The following is a 21,760-nucleotide window of genomic DNA, read 5'->3' as shown; positions in this document are numbered from 1 at the left end:
CACAGCCTGTTGGGTGTCACTTTTTTTGTTCTTTTGGAGATGGAGTTTCATTCTTGTTGCCCAGGCTGGAGTGCAGTGGCATGATCTTGGCTCACTGCAACCTCCATCTCCCAGGTTCAAGCAAGCGATTCTCATGCTTCAGTCTGCCAAGTAGCTAGGATTACAGGGGCCTGCCACCACACTCAGCTAATTTTTGTATTTTTTAGTAGAGACGGGGTTTCACCATGTTGGCCAGGCTGGTCTTGAACTCCTGACCTCAGGTGATCCACCCACCTCGGCATCCCAAAGCGCTGGGATTACAGGCGTGAGCCACTGTGCCCGGCCCAGCCTAGGAAGACAGTGATCCCAAACACTCTCCTGGGCTTTTCCCTCCCAAGTCCAATCCCTACCTATTCTTATTATAACTGAGGAGGGCAGAAGTTCTTTAGGTTGTTGTAATTTCAGTAAACAAAGAAGAGACCAAGAATAGGTAGCATTCATTAAAGTCCCCGACTGCCTGGAAAACAAATCAAGCAGAGAACCCTGCTGTGGGACGTTTAGGTGTGAGAGCTGCACACAGCTGTGCTGCCACAGTGGTTAACCCACCGCAGGGGAATTGGTGTGTGGTGGGCAGCGTTAGTCACCAGGGGAAATGATTAGGCCATTTCTGGGGGAATTTGTTGTAAAATAGGGCTATGTATATAATCCCATTTATTGAGTTGCTCACCATACTTCATAGAACAAGAAACCTTCCTGCCAAGGAGCAGGTGTCTCCACGTTTCAGCAGCAGGAAAATAAATTAGGTTTGCCTTAGGCCTCACAATCATTCGCGACCACTCAGAGGCTGTAACTTCCAGGCCTGGCTTGCTGATGGGGTCATGCTCTTTGTGACTGGTAATGAGCTGGACAACCTGCCCACTTAACTCAAGAGGCCACCAGCACCAGTAGCCCATCTAGGCAGTTGTCTGGAACCTCTACGTAGCATCTGGCCCAGGTTTCCAACTTTTTCCTGGTTTTGATGTCTGCCTCTGGGCTCTCTAGAGGCCCTAACCCACACCCTGCACTCGTCCTCCCTCACAGTTCCCAGGCTGACCACAGTGGCTTCTGCTGTCAGAGGGAGGGAAAGGTGATCTGGGCCTATTTCCCCTAAAGGAAAGAGCGTTTTATGGGAAGGCTTCTCCCTTCTAAGGCCCATAACTAAATCATAGGCAAATAGTTGTATGAATGTTATTTTGAGAGAATAGCCACATTACAGTATAAATCAGAAGTGACCAATTCATGTGTAAATCAGGGTACCAGGATTCAGTTTCTCAGCTTAGCATGGAAGAACAGCCTAGCCTGTCTTCTTGTCCAGATGGTGATTAATCAGCTCCATTCTGGCCAGATCAGGACAACTGGGCAATATGAATCAGGAAAGGGCAGAGGAAACCCAAGCCGCAGTCAGAAACATAAACCTCTAGTCATTCTCTTCTAGGGTTGGCTTCTAGCGCCCTTTCTCCACTCCAGAATGTAAATGCTTAAGAGGGGATTGCAAGGGGCGGTGGATCCCGACAGGCTTTGGAGTCAGCAAACATGAGTTCAAAATCATTGTGTACCCTGGTCAAGTTTTTTTTAAGTCCTTTGAGTCTTTTTTTTTTTTTTTTTAATGAACAAAATGGGAATTAAAAACATCTGATTTTCAGAATTGTTGTAAAGGCTAGAAATAAGTTATGCATTGCCTGGCACGTGATCATTATTCTATTATTAGTAACTGTCATTAATAATTGAGAAAGCACTGCCAGACCAATGACGACAGACCAATGACAGAGTGTTATAGACCAAAGTTATTGATTAATCCACTTCTGTGTCCCTGAAGTCCATAAACAAACTTCTTTTAAGATATTTTTCTTCTCTTAAAACGAATACATGTTCAACGCCAAGTTTGTGAAATCAGCGAATTGATTCCACAGTTATTACTTTTTGCATTTCTTTTTGTATGTATGTATTTAAATAAAATTCATTTTATGATTCAAATGTGGTTTTACATCCTGCTTTTTTCACTTAACATTAAAATGAGGAAAGGCTTTATCTCACATCTCTTACTTCATATAACAAGAAGTTCCTGAAAACGTTCTCTTTGATGGAACTGTGCCTAATGTGTGTGCTTACCCAATACAGAAGCAAATTCCTAGAACAGTGTGAAGATTCTTTGTTAAACGAAATGCTCAGTTTTATAAGCAAAAGTAAGCACAAAACCCAAGAGCATCTGTTTAGTGGCTAGAAAGACCAGGGAAATGGTGTGTTCTGACTGTTAACATGGCACATTTAAAATCAATTATTTTGTATTATGGAAAATTCCAAAAATGTACACAAATAGGATCATACTCTGAATGCTGGGATCAGCTCTCTTTCACCTCAATCATTATGAACACATGGCCAATCTTGTTTTACCTTCCTTCATTCATTTCGCCACCCATCCCCTTCCCAGTTTACCTTCCCAGGTTACCTTCCCAGGTCCCAGATACCCTTTGGTTTCACACACAACAGACTTGTAGGGCTGATTCTGCATTGTTCTGTGGTGTCTGTTTCATGCTCACCGGTGCTGTGTGTGGGAACAAGCCCAGGATTTAGTCTCAGACATGTAGGTGTTTAAATCCAGGCCCCACCACAAATCAGCTGCAACCTAGGAGAAACCAAGTCTCAGTTATCTTAGCTTGAAAAATAGAAAGAAGCTTCCTAGGGTTATTGTAGAAATCACGCCAGATGACATATACAGAGCATCTACCAGCCTGCCTCAGTTGGCAGGTGCTCAACACACATTTCATCCCTCCCCTCACTTCCAACCGGGTTTCCCACTGCTGAGAGATCCTCGCTGTGACCGACCTATCAACCTCTGCCCGTTGGAGTTCCTGGTGCTCAGATCCTGCCATCCATTGTCACTCACAGCCATTTCCCTGACTCTAACTCACTTTACAGAGGATCTAAACCGCTCTGTTCATGAGCCAAGCTTGATGGGGCAGGAAATTCCCAGCACCTCCGTCACTCAGTGAGTGAGGCCTAGAGTGATTCTTATTACCCCAAATCTGTTGTGTGGGGTTCTTTTGAGAATCCTGAACCCTGTGTAGCCCATACCCTCTCCCTCCCCTCCCTCACCAGAATAAACCAGTGAAGGCTTCTGGAACAGTTTACCTCCCTTTCCTGCATTAATTTATCTCCATTTTTCTGGAATTAGGTCTGCAGTTTGGGTCTGGAATCAAGTCTCCTATTGTTGCAGGCCTTTGACGCTCATCCTGACTCCTGACTGATGAATTATTTGGTCGACTGAGGCAGAATCACCTTTACTGGAGCATAATCTGTTGGAGGCAGCATCTCCTGAAGTCTCCATGAGTTGCTGGAATGAAGGTATGAACAAAATGGTGGGTGAAGAAGCCAAGACTAGGGGTGCTGATGGCAGGATGGAGTGGCTCAGGGCTGGGCAGGCTCAGGTTGAAGTCAGCAGCACTAATACCTCCTAGAGGGGTTTAATACTCTGAGGAGGGGCAGGCACTCAGAGGGCCCGAGGGCATGAAAACACCTGGTATCCCATGGGGAGGAGCAAGGAGCTGTGCAATGGGACTGGATGTGGCAGGCACTTTGAGGAGGGCTGAGGTTGGGCAGGTTAGGCCTTGACAGCCTAGGAGCCTTGTGCGGGGGTGCCTAGCTCTTTTTGTACTCCTTCTCCACCAGTCTGGCTCTCGCTGTCTAGATGTAATAACGAGGGAGGTCTTGCATGGCTACACTGTGTACCCGGCATTGCACTTCCCACTAACTGCAGCTGTTAGGCAGCTGGGCCCTGCGTGGGCCAGTCTCAAAGAGCTGCATTTAAAGAAGCATAGCACAAGCAGGAATTCTCATCTTTCTTTGAGACTCTTGCTAACATTTGAGAGTTTTCCGCTACATGATTCACATCACTTCTTTGGCATTCTCTGCCCGCTTTTCTAGTGCTACCACATTTTGGGGAGCCTCTCACTCTCCTGTCTCTTCCCCAGACTCTCTATTGCATTCACTTAACACCGGGTGTCTTGTTCTTCCATCCCCTCTCCCCTCTGCCTTGGACCTACCGATTTGTCACATGGCCCTGGCCAGCCTCCGGCCAGTGCAGTGTAGCTTCTCTGACAATTTTTCCCTAGAGAACTTGTTGCTGTGGTTTTGGTCTTTCTCTCTTCAGATAACGGGGAAGGAGGAAGAAGCTAAGCAAGAAATGCTTGAAGGCTCTATCAACAGGGGAAGGAGAAGGCCTTTCTTTTCTCACATGACACAGCTCTGCCACCTGTCTGGCCTCCTCACCCCCAGCCTCCTCACTTGACTTGTCCAACTCAGGTGCTTGGCTGTGCCAGCTGCTCCCTGATAGTCATGACTCCAGTGACCTTCTCCTGGGTCCATCCAGCCCCTCTGTTGCTGTGGTCCTAGTGTGGCTTTTTGCCTGAGTCAAACCAATTTATGACAAGAACTTAGACTGAAGCCCTCTGGAGGAGTTTGAGTAGCTTTAGGTCTGTCTTCTTGAGTACTGATATCTGAGTGTCCACCTTCTTCTGTGTACCTGAGTCCCTGTCTTTGGAACCAGCCTGCATCATATGACCCCTTGTTCTGACTGTGAAGGACTGGAAGCCTGCTGTGGAATTCCAGTGGGGTAACCAGGGCTTGGTCACCTGCTTCCTTGAGGCTGCATGTGGGTCTGGATTTCTGAGGCTCTTGAATCCCCTGTGCTAAAATCCTCCCTCCAGCTGGGACAGCACTACTATTTCCTGTCATGCTTCGTATGCTGGCAGCTTGGCTACACTTGGATGCCACATTCTGCCTACTGGGAGAATGGAGCCCCGGCACCTTCAGCTGCATCTGCCCCTCCGTGTGTTGCCCACTCTTGTGCTCAGTCCCTCTTGGCTTGGCTCTTTCTGCTCCAGACACAGGGTCTTTCTCATTTGCATTGCTGTTTTATTATAATTTTACTGATAGCTACCATATCTAAAGTAGCTACTTCGTTCTGGGCAGTTCCCTCATACTATCTCATTTATATCTCACAGAAATTCTAAGGGGTAGCTATTATAAACATTCTACAGAAAATGAAACCAAGGCGCAGAGAGGTTTAGTAACTTTCCCAGTGCATGTTCCAGGTTGTAGCAGAGCTCCGATTCTAGCCAGAAAAATATAAGAAATGCCCAGGAAAGTAAAAAATGTAGATTCTTGGGTCTTACCAAAAGAAATTCTAATTTGTAGATTTGATGTGGAGATCAAGGAATGTATATACGTATACACACACACAATTGTATTGATCTGAATCAACTGGTTCATGGACTGTGTCATTTGGGAACTATGCAATATACCATTCTTTCCTGAGATAAAGCTAATTATGGCCTTTGTGGGTTTGATTTCTCTTATGATACGGTGTAAATCATTTACAAATGACCAGTTGTGTGTAATGCATATGAAATGCATTTTGACTCTGTCCTCAGAGGCACCCCTGGGGTATGTGTGTGTAGTCAGTCCCTTGTGGAAGTTGCAGGCTTAGAAGGCATGCCCTCAAAATTTGGGGACCAGGTGAGGAAACTTCTCCTGTGAAAGGGAAACTGAAAAGGATCAACAGAAAATGGAGATTACCTTAAGAGATGGTTTGTGATCACCTTAAGAGATGGTTTGTGATTACCTTAAGAGATGGTTTGTTAAGACCCTGCTAACAGCCCCAGGATCTTGTAAGCAAAAGCCTGGAATGTACCATGTTAAGAAAGCTATGAACGACCTGGCTGCATTTCAACTGGAGTAAATGTTGAGTTGTGGTAATAGGAAGGTATGTTGTGTACAGGGACTAGGAGGAGGCAAGCCAGGGAATAAGAAGTGTTGCCAGCTGTATTTAGACAAGAGTGTGTTCTATTTCAGGGCAGTCAGCCTCAGTTCTTGGTATAGAAATTTCCCTTGGAAGAGAAGAGCACTCTCCAAGAGTGTTTCCAGCAGGAGCTTCCCTTAAAAACAACTAGCTTCCTCTGATCTGAAGTTGAGCTCACTAAGGAATTGATCCAAGATGGGTCAACTGGATGGGAAAGAGAAACCTCCATGGATGAGTAGTCTCTGTTCCCAAACCAGGCCAGCTCATTTGCTCCTTTGTGTTCTGCTTGATCAATTGTTCTCAGATGGATTTGGATAGCATGAGCTCATTGTCTACAGCATGATTCCCATTGGCTCAACTGACTGAAGTTGAGTTTCAGCAACTGAACTCTAAACCCACGGTCACATCATCAAGTACTGATGCCTATGAGATTTAATCTGTAACTACAAGCCAGACTTTCTTAGCTGCAAAAAATAAAAAAATTATTTGTCCAGGCTTAAGGGTCCCAGGGGTGGGCAAAGGACCACTACTGACCCTGTAATTGCGAGGTGACCCTATTCCTTAGACACTAAGAAGATTGGAGACTTAATTTCTTCCTAAGGAATACATATTTGAAAAATACTGCTTTTCACACTAACCAAATATAAAATTCAGTACGAATATGTATTTGAATAAACAAAACAGGTAACTTTGCGTATCTCAGATAGGTGGGTGGATAATTCAAATTATACAATGGAGAGACTCGAGCAAAGGGGAAGTGAACTGCCCAGTGAGTTAGTGGCAAAAGCAGGGTTAGGATGGGCTTCTAACTTCTCATTCTGTGCTCATTTCAATTAAATCTCAATTCTTCCAATAAATGTCACCACTCTGTCAATATTTTGCCTCCATTTTGTTCCTCAAGACAGTATCTTTTTACTCTCTTGGTTTTGGTTGGCCCTTGAATTCTTTTGCATTAGTGATCTTGAGATTTTACTTTGCATACGACAAGGAAGAGTGTGCATGATGTGCTTGTTGTGATTATAGACAGAGAGCTAGAGATCTCACCCAGGGCAGCAGTCAGTGATGGACAAGTGAACAATTCTCCCTATCGAAAAGATGTTGTTCAAGGGCTTTGCTTGAGATTGATCTCTATAGAATGGAAGGTAACTTGTGCCAGCAGAAAACCAGTAATAGTCCACCTGAGCTGCTGCTGAAGCTTAGGAGGGAAAATTGTGGCAAGTCTGTGAAAGATGGTGAAATTGGAGCCCAGGCTGGACACAGAAAGGACATCTGATGAGTGAGGGTTGGCAGGGGGGACAAATTACCAAAAACACCCCCGCAAAATGAAAACCCTCCGGTTTCTTAATATAAGTCCTCTAACAAATACATATAAATGACTCATAATTAATACGGCAAATACTTCACAGTATTTCTTGCATCCTTAAAAGTTGTGAGTCAAATACTTTAAACCTTCCTTTCCACAAGGTTGCCCACCAGTGAATTTGCAATGAACCCTCCTTTTGAGCACAGACTCCTCTCCTACCCCTGCCGCCTTGTGTTCACCTCCATCACACCTGCCTCAGGAGCCTGCCTATGTCCTTGCTGGATTTGGCTCTTCAAGGAAAGGCTCAGCAAAGCCAAAGTGAACGTTTGCCCCTCTGACTCTGAGTGATCAGCTTGTGATGTTATATACATGCAGTTGATGAGGTTTTCTGGTGCAGAACACAAATAGAAATGCTGCGCCAAATACAGGCTCTTCATCTTTGAATTTATCCAAAAGCTTGAAATTCTCTGGCCCAAACAGATATTTACTGGAAAAGCAGCGAATTCTGGGATGTCAGGGATTGCTTTGAAGTTTCTCCTTCTAAGAGAAGAACAACCTTTTTTATATCACCATGGCCTCTACTGGGTACTTGCAGCTTTTGAAAAGAAGCCTTCAAAAGGCTTTTTGCTAATAAGCCATGAAGTTGAAAGGTTGCTTGTTTGTCCTGAAGACATTTTATCTGTGTGAACTACTTGGGGGAGGCAGAGGGAGAGGTGGTCAGAGAGGAATCAACACAGCTGGTTTCAATATTAAAGGCAAAGATGGGCATTTTGCTCTTTCTCGTGATACCTGCTTCAGGAGTCAGATCCGACACGTGAAGAGTGTCAGTAAGTGCGGGGGCGCGTGTGCTCCGGCACAGGCTGGGAAGGTGGCTGAGGGCTGTCTTCCCTTCATCACGCGCTGTGGTTATAGCATCTTCCCCAGTCCCTCGTGTCAGCACTCTTGGTTTTCACTAATTGTGAAAGTTCCTCTTTTTGCAGAAGGATCTACGTCTTCCTTGCCTCATAAAAATCATCCTGAATTTAAGCTGCAACTATAAAAAACCCCCGGCCAACAAGAAGCAGCCTTCCTGATCTAAGTTATGGGAAAGTGGACTTTTATTTTCTATTTAAAGAAATAGGAGTCTTCGTAATGCATTAGTAATTCTAGCCAAAAAGTGTTTGATATGAACTTGATTTCACAAAAGAAGGCAGTCTTCAACATACTCACCCATTTCTGCTCAGAAGCATCATCACTTTCAGTTTTTACAAAAAGTAAAAACTATTTTGGAATTGGAAATGAAGTCACTTTTAATGCAACAATCCCCACACAAAGTTTAAGAAAAAGGAACAAATAATTTTTTTTTAACTAGAAAAGGTTTATTGAACTTAGTGAGAATTTGGTATTTATAATCAAATACAGTAAATTTTAGCAGAAATGTACCATGCTTATTACAGGGCAATCTCTCCATCTTTAGTATTCCTTTATTATTTTCACTCATCTTCTGCTTTTCCACTAGACTCTTAAAAAAACACTTTAAGCTTCTTTCATTGATATATAATAGTTGTACATATTTATGGGGTACATGTGATATTTTGATAAAAGCATCCAATGTGTAATGACCAAGTTGGGGTAACTGGAACAGCCATCACCTCAAAATTGATCATCTCTTTGTGTTGGGAACATTCCAAATCTTCAAGCTATTTTGAAATATACAATAGATTATTGTTAACTATAGTTTTCCTCTTGTGCTACTGAACACTAGACCTTATTTCTTCTATCCAATTGTACTTTTGTACCTGTTGCCAACCCCTCTTCATCCCACTACCCTTCCCAGCTTCTAGTAACCACTACTGTATTCACCACGCCCATAAAATCAAATCTTTTAAGCCCCACATACGAGTGAGAACATGCAATATTTGTCTTTCTGTGACTGGCTTATACATCATGTCCTCCTGATTCCATCCATATTGCTACACATGACAGGATTTTCTTACTTTTTTGGAAGAATAATATTCCACTGTGTGTGTGTGTGTGTGTGTGTGTGTGTGTGTATCATATTTTCTTTACCAGTCATCCTTTGATGGACACTTAGGTTGATTTCATATCCTGGCTATTGTGAATAGTGCTGAAATAAACATGGAAGTGCAGTATCTCTTTGATATAGTGATTTACTTTCTTCTGGATCTCTGTGAAGCAGTCAGATTGCTGGATCATGTGGTAGTTCTGTTTTAGAGTTTTGAAGACCCTCCATACCGTTTTCCACAGTGGCTGTACTCATTTACCTTCCCATCAACAGTGTATGCGCATTCCCCTTTCTCCGAATCCTCTCCAGCATTTGCTATTTTCTGACTTTTTGATAATAGCCATCTTAACTGGGGTGAGATGATATCTCATTGTGGTTTTTCCACCAGACTCTTTTCTAATTGAAAAACATGTCTAGTGTGCCTCTGTGCTGTGATGGTGCCGCCCGTCACCACCCCTTGCTCAGAGCCTCTTTGCCTTCCTTTCCATTCCCTGTGTTCTCCCTGGGAGATCTCATTTGTTCTCTTTATTTTAGTAACCTGACGACTCCTAGATATATTTATTCAGCATTGACTTCTCTTCTGCACTTTAACTTAAGCGTACAACAGGAAGCTTGAACTCAAAACATTCCAATCTCAAATCATCCGGCATACCTTTCCCCAAAACTGCTCCCTACCGCCCCCCTTCCCACTGTCCTGTATTCCTTTTCCAGCACCCAATAGCCTAGGTGTCATTCTAGATGTGGTTCTTCCTCTTTCCTTAAATCCTGTCACAATTTAGCCTCATAAACTTGGCCCCTAGACTTGGATCCAGCTTCTCTTTTCTTCTCCGTTCCCATGGTCACTGCCATAGTACAAGCCCCGGTTGCCTTAATCCTGAACTTGGGCGATAATGTTCTACCTGGTCTCCCTGCTTTCAGTCTGATCTTCCTCAAATATGTTCTTTCCTCCTGAACCATAGTGATATTCCTAAGACACATTTCAGATGGGCTCTATTGCCCCCAGTGTTTCCTTCTCTGTCTGTTATACCAGACTATAAACACCCTGAAGTCATGGGCTTTGTCCAACCTGTGTTTCTATCCTAAGCCCTCATCACAGAACCTGTTAAACAGTAGCTAAGTAGTCAGGGTATTTATTGAGTGGATAAACCAATGAATGCTGTGGCTTCCAAAGTGTCAACAATGAGCTTAATGATCTCCCTAACCCAAATGTGTTAAGTATAGGGAAGCCCCTTCTTTGTATCTCACACTTACCTTGTATCTTACTACCCTTTAATCACTGTGCCTTGCCCTTGGGCCTTCCCTTGGTGTTCACCTTAATCTATATAAAGCCTAAGCTGGGATGGACTGTCATGGGTGGGCATGAGGAACTAAATGGGTTTGCCTTTTCTCAGGACCACCTTGCCCACCTCTTGTCTTTTGAGCCATTCGAGTATCCCCAAGTATCTTGGAGCTTTTCCATAAAGGGCCACTAAAGCAGGAGAGTCACTGAATCTGGATTCCTAGATCACCTCCCTGTGCCAGAGAGACTGTGTTTTGCAGAGGAACTCATAAAGCATAATTTCCTCCAATTTGTAGCATTGGCACCCACTTTGAAGAAATGACATATAAAAATTCAAATTAATGTGATATAGAAATTAGAGTTGATGGTTCATGTCACAATAGGATAGTTTTCAAGGATTCATTGTCTGCTTTTTTTTATGTATTAAACTTGCCTAGGTATTGACACTGCAATGCCTGTGTAAAGACTCGGTTGCCTGTAACTATTTAGCAGACCATCCACAAAGAGCTACCGTTGTAACGTGGAGTTGTTTGCACTAAGATGGTGCTATAGTCTGAATATGTGTGTCTCCCCATAAATTCTTATGTTGAACTCTTAATCCCAAGGTGATGGTATTAGGAGTTAGGGCCTTTGGGAGGTGATTAGGACATAGGAGTGCAGGCCTCATGAATGGGATTAGTGCCCTTATGAAAGAAACCCAAGAGAGAGACTCACCCCTTCTACCACGTGAGGATACAATGAAAAGGCAACATCTATGAGGCAGAAAGTGGGCTCTCACCAGACACTGAATCTGCTGGCGTCTTGATCTTTTACCCCCCAGTCTCCAGAACTGTAAGAAATACATTTCTATGGTTTCTAAGCCACCCAGTCTATGGTATTTTGTTACAGCAGCCTGAATGGAGTAGACCAGAAGTTTTCATCTTATACAAGTTGTTTTATTGGTTCAAATAGAGAACCTATTTCTTTGGGAGTTTATTTATTAGTTCTAACATTTATTTGTGATATAGGATCAGGAGCTTCAAAGACTTTTTTGCCTATGATGATGACTCACATGAAAAGGCTCACTATCAGAAAGGCATATGAATGGTTTTGCTGAATTTCATCACTTTTTCTCTACAGATTAGCTTACAACCAGTGGCGAGGTACCCAGACAACTCACCTTGCACGTTCAGGTCACTGGTTCCCCGCTGGCCTGGATAAAAGAATTTGGCTGGGTTAGTAACATCTCGGTCTGTGACTCAGGAAGAGCTGACACCAAGTGAAGGCAGGTGACCCACACAACAACCAGATTTAAGCCTCAAGGCCCACTGCCACCAAGCGTTAACCAAGGGAACCAATTGACTGCCGACTCTGGATAGGTAGGGTAAAAACTGGAAGAAAACGAGGCTAGGTTAATCAGTTTCCTCTGAGAACATGAACCCTGTCCTTTCTGAAAGATTTTTAAGAACTACAATTGAGATTGTGGACAGTCTGCAGTGGAAGTTACATTTGACCACCTCTAGACTTGAGGCTGTTATTTATATGAAAGTCTATTTTAATCAAAGGAAATCCTGTTTCACCAGCAGCACTGGCAGCCCTGAGACGCACGGTCTCAGGAGTGTTGTGAGGATACAGGCTGTCTTTAATCTCAGAATAAAAATATTTGATGTTTACAAGGTGTATTAGTGTAATTGGAATGTGTCTGCCTGTCTGCCGGCCTTCCTTCCATGGTGGGACCACGTAATTAAAGAGCATTGCGTTCATGTGGCTGCCTGTTTATCCTTTCATAGCCTCTCGGTAAGTAGTCACGGTCAAGACCGTTACCCTGGGCTCTTAGAGAGCTCATCCAGGCAGAGACAGCTGCAGCCAGAACAAAGGGGAGGCTGCACTCTGCTTGCAATCCTTCTGAGGGCTCTAGGGCAAAGTGGGATGAGACAAGTTTAACTTGGTGGATAAGAGACGCCTGGTATCCCAAGAAACTCTCAGTGCATGCATGGGATTATGCCTTGAAAAATGTGTGTAGGTGTATATATTAGGTTGGTGCAAAAGTAATTGCACAGCCTTTGCCATTACTTTGAATGGCAAAACTGCAATTAATTTTGCACCAACCATATATACACACACACACACATATGTGTATATACACCTACACACATTAAGGTCTATCTATCTTTTTTGTTTGTATCTATCTCTATCTATATGTATATCTTTCTCTGTCTTCAAAAAGTGATTTTTTTTTCTTCAAGTAAAAGTCAGAAAAGGAGATACTCACCCTTATCTCTTCGTGTATACCTAATTCCACGTTATGTATTCAAGTTCTATTCCTAATGCCTCAGGACTTTGCTAGTTGGAGCCTTGTGGGTCACATGAGCACTAAGAACTCAGGTTTCCTAAGTGAGATTCTACATTTATTCCTATCTCCTGTAATCTTGGAACTTCTAAGAGAGCCTGGCTGAGAGTAGGTGCTCAATAAGTATGTATTAAATGAATGAATGAATCTCCCTGTAGTGTTCTAATGAGTGAATGAATCTCCCTGTAGAGTCCTCCTCTTGAATTAGTCTGGAAGTCCCCAGGCAGGGTGTCTGCCATGTGCTCAAGTCGGTCTATTAACCACAGCCACCTTGTGACCTCTGGCCCGTTCTGATTCTCCCACCCTGGCTCTTCTTGTTGCTTGAGGGTGTCTGGTGGCTGTGGCTGTTGTTGCCCTCCCTGAGAACCTGACCATCTGGGCTGCATCACCATGCTTGCTGTCCTTCTAGCCCTGGAGCTGTATGGCCTACAGATTCATGGGCCCTCTCAACTCTCACTGATTGCTTCCCTCGTAGAAGCCCAAAAAGTCTGTGGAGCTGGACAAGGAAATGTCTCCACATCTTTCTTCCCCTCCATGCCCTTGATTCTCTCACTCAAGACTGAAGGATTCCTGGCACAAAAATGTCTCTCTTTCTTGAGCTTTAAAGCAAAAATGTCCTTATCTCAGCATTTTTCAACCCTAGTTAGATAAATTATATACCCAGACCTCACCCCTAGATACTTTGATGCAGTGAGTCAGAAGCAGAGTCTGGCATTCGTATTTTTACAAGGCTCGTAGGTGATTCTGGGGTACCGACAATTGAAATTTTGGACAGTCTGCGGTGGAAGTCAAATCTGTGTTGTGAAGCGCACTGTCACAGGTGATCAACTCTTACAAACAGACACCTGGGGACATTGAGTTGGGCTCAGCAATGATACTCTGCTAGAAAATGCAATCTTTAGAAAGGCAAGGATAGGCTAGGCACAGTGGCTCACACCTGTAATCCCAGCACTTTGGGAGGCCAAGGCGGGCAAATCACTTGAGGTTAGAAGTTCAAGACCAGCCTGGCCAACATGGTGAAACCCTGTCTCTACTAAAAATACAAGAAATTAGCCGGGTATGCTGGCACGCACCTGTAATCCCAGCTACTTGGGAGGCTGAGGCAGGAAAATCACTTGAACCCAGGAGGCAGAGGTTGTAATGAGCTGAGATTGCACTACTGCACTCCAGCCTGGGCAACAGAGCAAGACCCTATCTCAAAAAAAAAAAAAAAAAGGAAGGCAAGAATAATTAATATATTTTAATTTGCTTGAACAGCACTATATCTAGATGAAGATATGATTAATTCTTTTTTGTTTGTCATGTTAACCTAAGGGTTGAAATTGCAGCAGAAGTACTGAGCACTGTCACTGGAAGCATTCCAAGAGATGTTGAGTGGTCACCCATAATAGATGCTGCAGAAGGGATATCTGCATATGGCTGCACTGACTCTAAGATATGGTGATTCAGTTCAGTGATATAACACCTATTTACTGAAACCCTGTTGTGTATTTTGGGGCATACAATGAATAATTAGATATGCACTCTGCCCCCAGAGAGCATAGAATCTATTCTCCATTGATTCATTCATTCACTGTGCCAGGCAGTGAGTGGTTAACTCTTTACTGAGTTACTTCCTCAGCGGGAGGCATCTGAACAAGCAAACATACCACTTACCTGAAACAACTGTCAGGTTGGGTAGAGAACGTAAGTGTCTTATGAGAGTTCTAGGTAGAGTGCTCTGGGACTTCAAAGAAAAAAAGTCATGCCTATGTAGTTGGGTTTGCCCTTTAAGACAAAAGTAGTAAAATTCAAATGCTAAATAAAATGCTCAGCTCCACTAATGGAATTTTTGCGCATGAAAAAAAGCAAGCTATAAAGGTTAAGATAACCAGACTGGCTGTATTTCTGTCCCTGCTGCTGTGGGGTTATTAACATCATTCTGTGCGAGTGAGTCCACCGGAGAGATGGGGTAGCAACTCTTTGTTCTTCCTTTTTTGTATCATTTCAGCCCTGAGAACAGCTCTTTACAGATGGTTTATAGAACTGAAATGAATTGAAATAACTTGTCAGCTGGTCTGTACCAACCCTAATAAAAGACTCAGAGGAACAAGCTACTGACAATTAGACAGTGTTTTCTATTTGAGAGTTGTTTCTAACAACCACAAATCTGAAGTGTGTCAAAGGAACAATTTTGTGATTCATTTGGGTAATGCTATCTTTCCTGGAATGAAAGGATTTCTTTTCATATAGAAATTGAAAAAGAAGTATGCCCTTATTTTGAACTTATAGTTGACACAGCTTTGTAAACAAGAACAGTTCCAAGTCGTGGAGATATTTTTCCAGTCTGCCGTCTTGTGATGAAGTATAGTGCAGGAAATAAACAGTCTTAAGAATTGGCCAAAAAAATGTTTCCTTGGGGGCAAATCACCCTTGCCCCAGATACCTACTTATCTCTGCTCACACTTCTTAGGATGCACTTGGATTGGCCACACCCATCCAGTACACATGGAACTTCATTGCTTTTATTGATTGATTGCTGTTTAAAGCTTTATTCCATTATTTCATATATGTATCAGACATGTAGCAAATGTATGTGAAAACAAGGCAGAATATGTTATACCTGTTATTCTAACTCGATTGTAAATGTTTGAGAGCAAGAACATTTCTCTTCAAATTTAGTTGTTTTTTTTTTTTAGGTACTCTTTGTTCCCCACTGTGTAGCACGAAGTCCAGCATCTCACGTTTATTATTTTGGAATAAATATTAATTATTATCTTGAGCAAATGGCTCTTTACAGTATCTGAATGTTCAGTACCATAGTCAGAAAACTCTGAGAACTTACATTTGCAGATGGTATTTGACATAACTGAAAATGTTTAAGAAACAAAAAACAAAAAGCCTCAAATATAAGCAATTGTGGATACTTATGATTCTCTTCTTAGTTATGCTTTTTTCCTTTGCATTTTTTTCCCTAAGGATGTATGATCACCGTTTGTTATTACTATGAGGTTTAGGGCATTATCCATTATTAATTCTTTTGAGATTTACTTGCTGCTTTTTCCTTGAAAGAGAGTTCTGGATTTTTGATACTTCCCTTTAGAAGTGAGGTTTCTTTGAATAATTGGGGCCTTAAGAAAAGTTACAACACACTGTCTTCAATCCATCCACCAGACTTTGCACGCAAACACCCTATTGACGTCAGCAGAACTTGGGTGAAGTTCTTTTTTTTTTTCTTTTTTTTTTTTTGCCTATCACTGGGAACTGGGGAGTGAGGGTGGTAGGGTGACGTGCATGGGACTGGGTCTGGGTGCTAAGAATGAGTTGACTATGATGAAATTTGGAATGCTACAGTTTTCTAATAAAATTGAGTCTTGTGCTGTTTTCCCATTGGATAAGAAAAAAATATAGTCGGAGTGACATTTATTCCAGGAACTTTAAAAAATTTTCCATTATGTTTGATAGACTGTTTTATGAGGACTGGCCAGTGTTAAAAGATTTGGCATTTGATTTTGGAAAAGAATAACTCCGAATTGAATTTATTAGACTCTCTGAGTCTAGTCTATAAGTAGAGACCATGTGCCTTCTTATGAGCTGATGCTTCAACCCAGAAGATGTCACGTTCATAAGCATATGCATTTAAAATTGATGTCCCATGAGTTTCAGAAAAATCTATGGACCCAAACATTTTTGAGATACAAAACAATTCATTATTTGCATTCAGCATTTCCTAATCTTCTACCTTTCTTATTTAGGACTTTAATTCAGTGCTAAAACTTCCTATCCGACTACACTTGAGCAAATATCATCTTTCTTGAACTGTAACTAAAATTGTTCGGCTTGATTAGCAAATTTCTCTGTGTGTCTGTGTACCTAGGCTTGTATAGATATATCAAAGGTTTTAAATCTAGCTGGAGAGATAAGATAAGAACACAAAGCATTTATGAGAACGAATACCCTTTGAGGTGGTTTGAAATCTCAGTTTAATTGCAGTTTACAGACGAGAGGAGTGGTGATTTTCCGTAGAGGAAAGATTCATGGAAGAGATGGGACTTTTAGTGGATTTTAAAGATTTAGCATCATATTTATAAAATATCAAAAAGGAAAGAGGATGGGAAATTTTTAAATTAATTTTGGGCTTTTTGGGGTCAGCCATGGAGTCATGTGTAGACAGGGTTTCAAGTTGAGCTATGTCTTCTTAGATGATAGACACGTGCCTGTGAATTCTTATTAGACTGTTCCTTTTATTTATAGCTCCCATCTGATTGTGCTCATCGGGTTGTTACTAATACTGATAAAATTTGTGGGTACAGAAACATTCTGAAAAGAACCTTTTATAATTTTTTTTTGTTTGTTTTTTAGCGAACTGGAAGGGGAAACTGAACAAAAAAAGAGTAACCAAATACTGTGAAACCCCCAGATCTCTTGATCTTAGGCCAGGTGTCTATTGCCAATCTGATTAATTCTAATTATATTCAGCTTCATTTAAATTAAGTAACATGAAGGCTTTCTTACCCTTGTTCATTCAATTCAAGTATAGTTTTATATAGTTGACTAATCAACTGATGATTATTTATTGAGTAGCTATTATGTGCTTGGAATTTTCTTATATATCTATAGTTTAAGTTCTGCCTCACAGAGCTTAAAATCTTAGCAGTAAAAAATATAAAGCATATTGAAGTGTCAGTTAATAGTGTGATGCCGTAGGGGAGTGTCAGTAGTAGAAGTCCAGGAAAGAAAGACGTAAAAGACACCCAGGATAATTGGCGATGAAGAAAGTTTGTAAGGAGAAGAAAAAGCACTGTAGGCGATTAAAACTGTAGAGGAAAAGCTCTGAGGCAGGAGAGTGGAATAGAGAATGTGAAGGGATTAGAACTGATAAAGTGTTTTCCAAACAATTCTGACTTTCCTTGTTGTTTGAGTGTTCAACAAGGAGGTCTTGAAATAGTTTTATTTAACATTGTTTTGCAAAGTTTCCCTCTCTCTCTCTCTCCTTTCACCCACACACCCAGACATGCAGATGTACATATATAAATATAAAACATTAATTCTCTAGGTTATCTTTGTAGTTGACAATAGAGAATACATATCCTTACTGTAATTGGCAGAAAACATCTGTGATAGTTAACATTCTTAATTTTTAAAGATTTCAACTGTGAGGCTCTATTGGTACATAATCAAATTTTTTATTATTTTTAGAAATCTTAATAAATATTCTAAATCAGTGAGTTCCAAGGTTAAAAGTTTCATAATTTTTTTGAGAAAAGTCGAAGCAATCAAGACTTTTCTTTTCCTTCAGTAGACCATTTGGAAGTAAAAGTTAAAAACTAAGTATGAGAAATGCAGAAGTTCTAAAGGGAACTTGAAAATTTATTTTTAGACTATTAAACAGACACACTTTTCTTGGCTGGCCCAAGATCCATTGAGATAGTGCACATCCAGAGAAACTATAACCAGATCTAAATGATAGTTTCCAAATAACCATATAAAATATTTGCAGATTTATCCTCTTGGGTGAAAAGGCAGCCATTTCTCTTAAAACATGTTAAGAGAAAAGGGCTTTTCAAATGTTGATGTGCATAAGGGTCAGTTGGGTAACAATGCAGGTTCTGACTCAGCAGGTCTGAGGCGGGACCTGGACTCTGCATTTCTGAGAAGCTGCCGGTGATGCTGCAGGTGCTGGAATGTGAGCTACTCTTTGAATACGAAGGTCCCAGAGAACATCAAAATAACCTCTGGTGCTATCGATTTATGAGTACATTGACATTTATTTTATTATTTTTATTGGAAAAATAAGTGCAGTGTCAGAGTGGAGAGGAACTTTTACACCTTTAGCATGGCCTGGCAATGTTGGCTATTCCCTAGATTACTACTCTGTAGAAAGCTGCACGTGGGCAGGGACTGAGCTACTTCTGTTCTTTACTGTATCCTAATGGCTACCACAGAATCAGTACTCAGTCAATGTACTGAGTCGAGTAAATGAATGAATTTAGTGTTGGCCCGCAAATGCCATTTAGCTGTATGCTTGTCCTTGTTACATAAGCAGAAGAATGTGAAAAAGTGCAACAGTGTTCTAGTCTAAAAAAAGGTCACTCTGGCCTTAAGAATTTATACTAACAAATTACAACTCAAACCTTGGTATTCTTGAATGCACAGCACAACAAAACCACTAACACGGAAGAGGCTGAGGAGAAGAAAAGAATCAGGGGTAAACACTACCTTTGTGAAGGACTCTTTTTAAGACAAAGTTCTTCCCACATACTTAAGGTCTCCCAAGCACTTTCCTTTCTGGTCCTTCTGTCCCATCCTGACCTAGAGCTTCCTCCACCCCTTTTTACTCTAATCTCTGATGCTCTCAGGTAGCCACTTGGCTGTGTTCACAGCCCTTTCTCCTGCTTGCCTTGCCTGTGTGTCCCCTGAGTTCTCCCCTGGGGCATTTCTGACTAAGATGACATGCCTTGTCATTTATTAAAGCAGGATGTAGCTCTTTCTTCCTGACTGCCATCTTATTACCTTAAAATTATCTTAGCATTGTAAGTATTACCTACTTAGCTACTTATATACCCTAACATTACCTTAGTACACTAGCATTACTGGAGTACTTAGTAGTACTTCACTTGGAAAATCACTTCTATTGCGTAAGTTTTCTGTCTCCCCACCTCCTCCAACACCCATTAGTCCATGACAACAAAGTACTACTTGCCACCAATGTGACTGTACGCTAGAAACAAAGATAGCACTGGCATTAAAGGGCAGGCCTGGATTTGAAGGAATCATAAAGACACTCCCAAATATGATTATATTAATTTTCACAATTATTGAAGTGGAAACACAAAATTGAAAAATTGTAGAGACCCCCTTGACCCCCAAGAATACTTTGGATCTGTGGGGATTTTTAAAGCCCAACTGGAGAACTTCTCGAGATCTCAGGGCACCGCTTCTAGACAAAAAGGGGCCTTGTGGCTTCTCTTGGTCTATCTCATTTCCCCAGGAGAAAACATTAGGCTTTAAGACAGAAGGCTTGTCAACAGTGGTGTTTGTCTGTTTCTTGGTGAGTTTCCTTAGCATGCTGCCCCTATAAACCTCTTGTGGTGGTTGACTGCTTCGGAATTAGTTCAGCATTTCTGGTCTTAGTTATATCTCAGTCTGTAAAACAACCACGTACACAAAGGCTGCAGCCTTCCACAGAGGACTTGGGTGAGTTCTGTAAGTTGGTTAAAGAGGATCTCCAATCCTCTCCAACGTTGTCTCTCCCAACCCCCATCCCAATTCCCTTACAACAAACAAGAAGCAGTTCTGAAGACAACTGAGACATTTCTGAGCCAGCTTATTAAGTTCTAATGCTGCCCTCTTCACACCTTTGCATAACAACCTTCTCAGCAAATCAGCACATTCTATCAAATGGGATGCGATCCAGTTCTGCCGTGAACTTATCCCCCCTTGGAAATTGCTTGCTCAGTGATGTCCCATTAACACGAATCATTCCATTCTTCTACTTGATTTTCCCTTTGCTTGCTTGCCAGGAAGGTCTATTCTTTAGATTGACCAACATCTAATTTTCCTCTCCCTAGTTCTCTGCCTAGACTATAATCAGTTGGTGCCTCTGGTTAACTTCCTTTCAAGTCCTCTTCCTCCTCAGATGAAATGGATTCCCTCAGTGCATGAAACTGGAGTTTAGAGCTTCCTCTTAACTATGGTTGAGTCCCTGATGGTATTAGTGGCACTGTAATCGTGGATCTGTGGAATTCAGAGTCTTGAAAGACAAATGAACACATCTTTCCTGATCTGGAAACATCCTTGATCATATATTGCAAAGTGTAATCTTTTCTTCCAGAATAGTCATCTGAAAACCTGGAAGTCATTCTTACTTTCTGCTTACTTCCCTCTCCTCCTATTTTCTTGTACTACTTCCTTCATTCCTATTGCTTCTAATTTGGCCAATGATACCAACACCATGATCTTCTTGCAACCACTACCCACTCCTGGCTCCAGTCCCACCCCTTGAAAGTGATTTTTCTAAACACAAATCTGATCAATCACTCCCTGGCTTTAAATTCTTCAGAGAATCACTATGGCTCATGTGATAATTTCCAAACTGCTTAGCATGGCTTACAAAGTTTTCATGGCCTAGATTCCGTTTACTTCTCAGCATCACGTCTTACCATGTCCGCACACACTCTGCTCCCTGGCCAATACTGAATTGCTTTCACTTCCCCTAATGAATGGTGCCCTTTCTCACACTAGTCCTTGCCATGTGCTGGCCCCTCTGCCGGGGAGGAGTACTCCTTCCAGACTCCTATTCCTCCTTCAGGAACTCAGGTTAGACATCACTTCCTCGGAGAACCCCATGCTTCCTCCTTTGTTCTTATTCCTTTTTATAGTCCTTGGCATTCTGGATTGGATTTACCTATTTGTCTTTCCCACTCAGGATGGTGAACAACTTGAAGGCAGGCATTGTATCTTACATTCAACTTTGTATCTCCTGGGGTTCCTTGGAATTTCAGGACTTTCCAACAGTCAATTTCTGGCATTGTAATTTTAGCAGGGACAAGGAGAAACTAGTCATTCTGATTTTAGTTCATACAAGGGCACCAACCTTTGAATTATCTATCCCATATAATAAGAACTCAATTCTTCCAGGCTTGATCTAGTACCCTGATAAGATCAATTTATTCTACCTTTAACTAGGTAAGAATTAACCCACTGCATGGCACATAATACATTTTTGATACATGGCAGCTGCTAAATATTGTTAGAACTATATCTATGGGTGAATTACACAAATACTTTTAACCAAGAGGCCAGCAAGCTGTGTTATTTATTTAATAATTAGCTTGTCTTTATTGAAGCCTACTCTGCAATTAGATTTCTTGTCTATTTCTTTCTTGGGACTTATTCTAATTCTCAATATGTCTAATGTTTAGTCTCCCTTACACAAAAGCAAAGGATAAAATTTAGGAGCTAAGAAAGTCCTGTGGGAGTAAGGATTTCTTCAAATCCTTGGTGAAACTGCCTGAATTCAAGGAGCTGAGAGTGCTCTCCTAAATGGA

At 41.8% G+C, this 21,760-nt stretch overlaps 1 long non-coding RNA gene across 2 annotated transcripts in view, besides 2 other annotated features; it reads left to right on the top strand.

Moving 5' to 3' along the window:
- The window catches only part of LOC105377923 (uncharacterized), a 63,333-nt gene that overhangs the window by 4,712 nt on the left and 36,861 nt on the right, over window positions 1-21,760 (top strand). For both annotated transcript variants that reach the window (XR_001744275.2, XR_001744274.2), the window contains exon 2: window positions 3,233-3,360. This is a non-coding gene — a long non-coding RNA (uncharacterized LOC105377923). The remainder of the gene's footprint in view (window positions 1-3,232; window positions 3,361-21,760) is intronic.
- Window positions 2,553-3,752: an enhancer, noted in NCBI's record as "BRD4-independent group 4 enhancer chr6:106332509-106333708 (GRCh37/hg19 assembly coordinates)". NCBI's record gives its function as "activates an origin of replication core promoter dependent on BRD2, P300/CBP, MED14 and CDK7 cofactors, and independent of BRD4, by STARR-seq in HCT116 cells {active_cell/tissue: HCT116}" and the evidence as "EXISTENCE:reporter gene assay evidence [ECO:0000049][PMID:35650434]".
- Window positions 18,061-18,562: an enhancer, noted in NCBI's record as "NANOG hESC enhancer chr6:106317699-106318200 (GRCh37/hg19 assembly coordinates)". NCBI's record gives its function as "activates a minimal SCP1, AML or CMV promoter by ChIP-STARR-seq in primed H9 embryonic stem cells {active_cell/tissue: H9 hESC(primed)}" and the evidence as "EXISTENCE:reporter gene assay evidence [ECO:0000049][PMID:30033119]".

The sequence above is a fragment of the Homo sapiens genome, chromosome 6 (genome assembly GCF_000001405.40).
Source record: "Homo sapiens chromosome 6, GRCh38.p14 Primary Assembly".
Lineage (NCBI taxonomy): Eukaryota > Metazoa > Chordata > Mammalia > Primates > Hominidae > Homo > Homo sapiens.
This window is presented reverse-complemented; position numbering and strand designations above follow the sequence as displayed.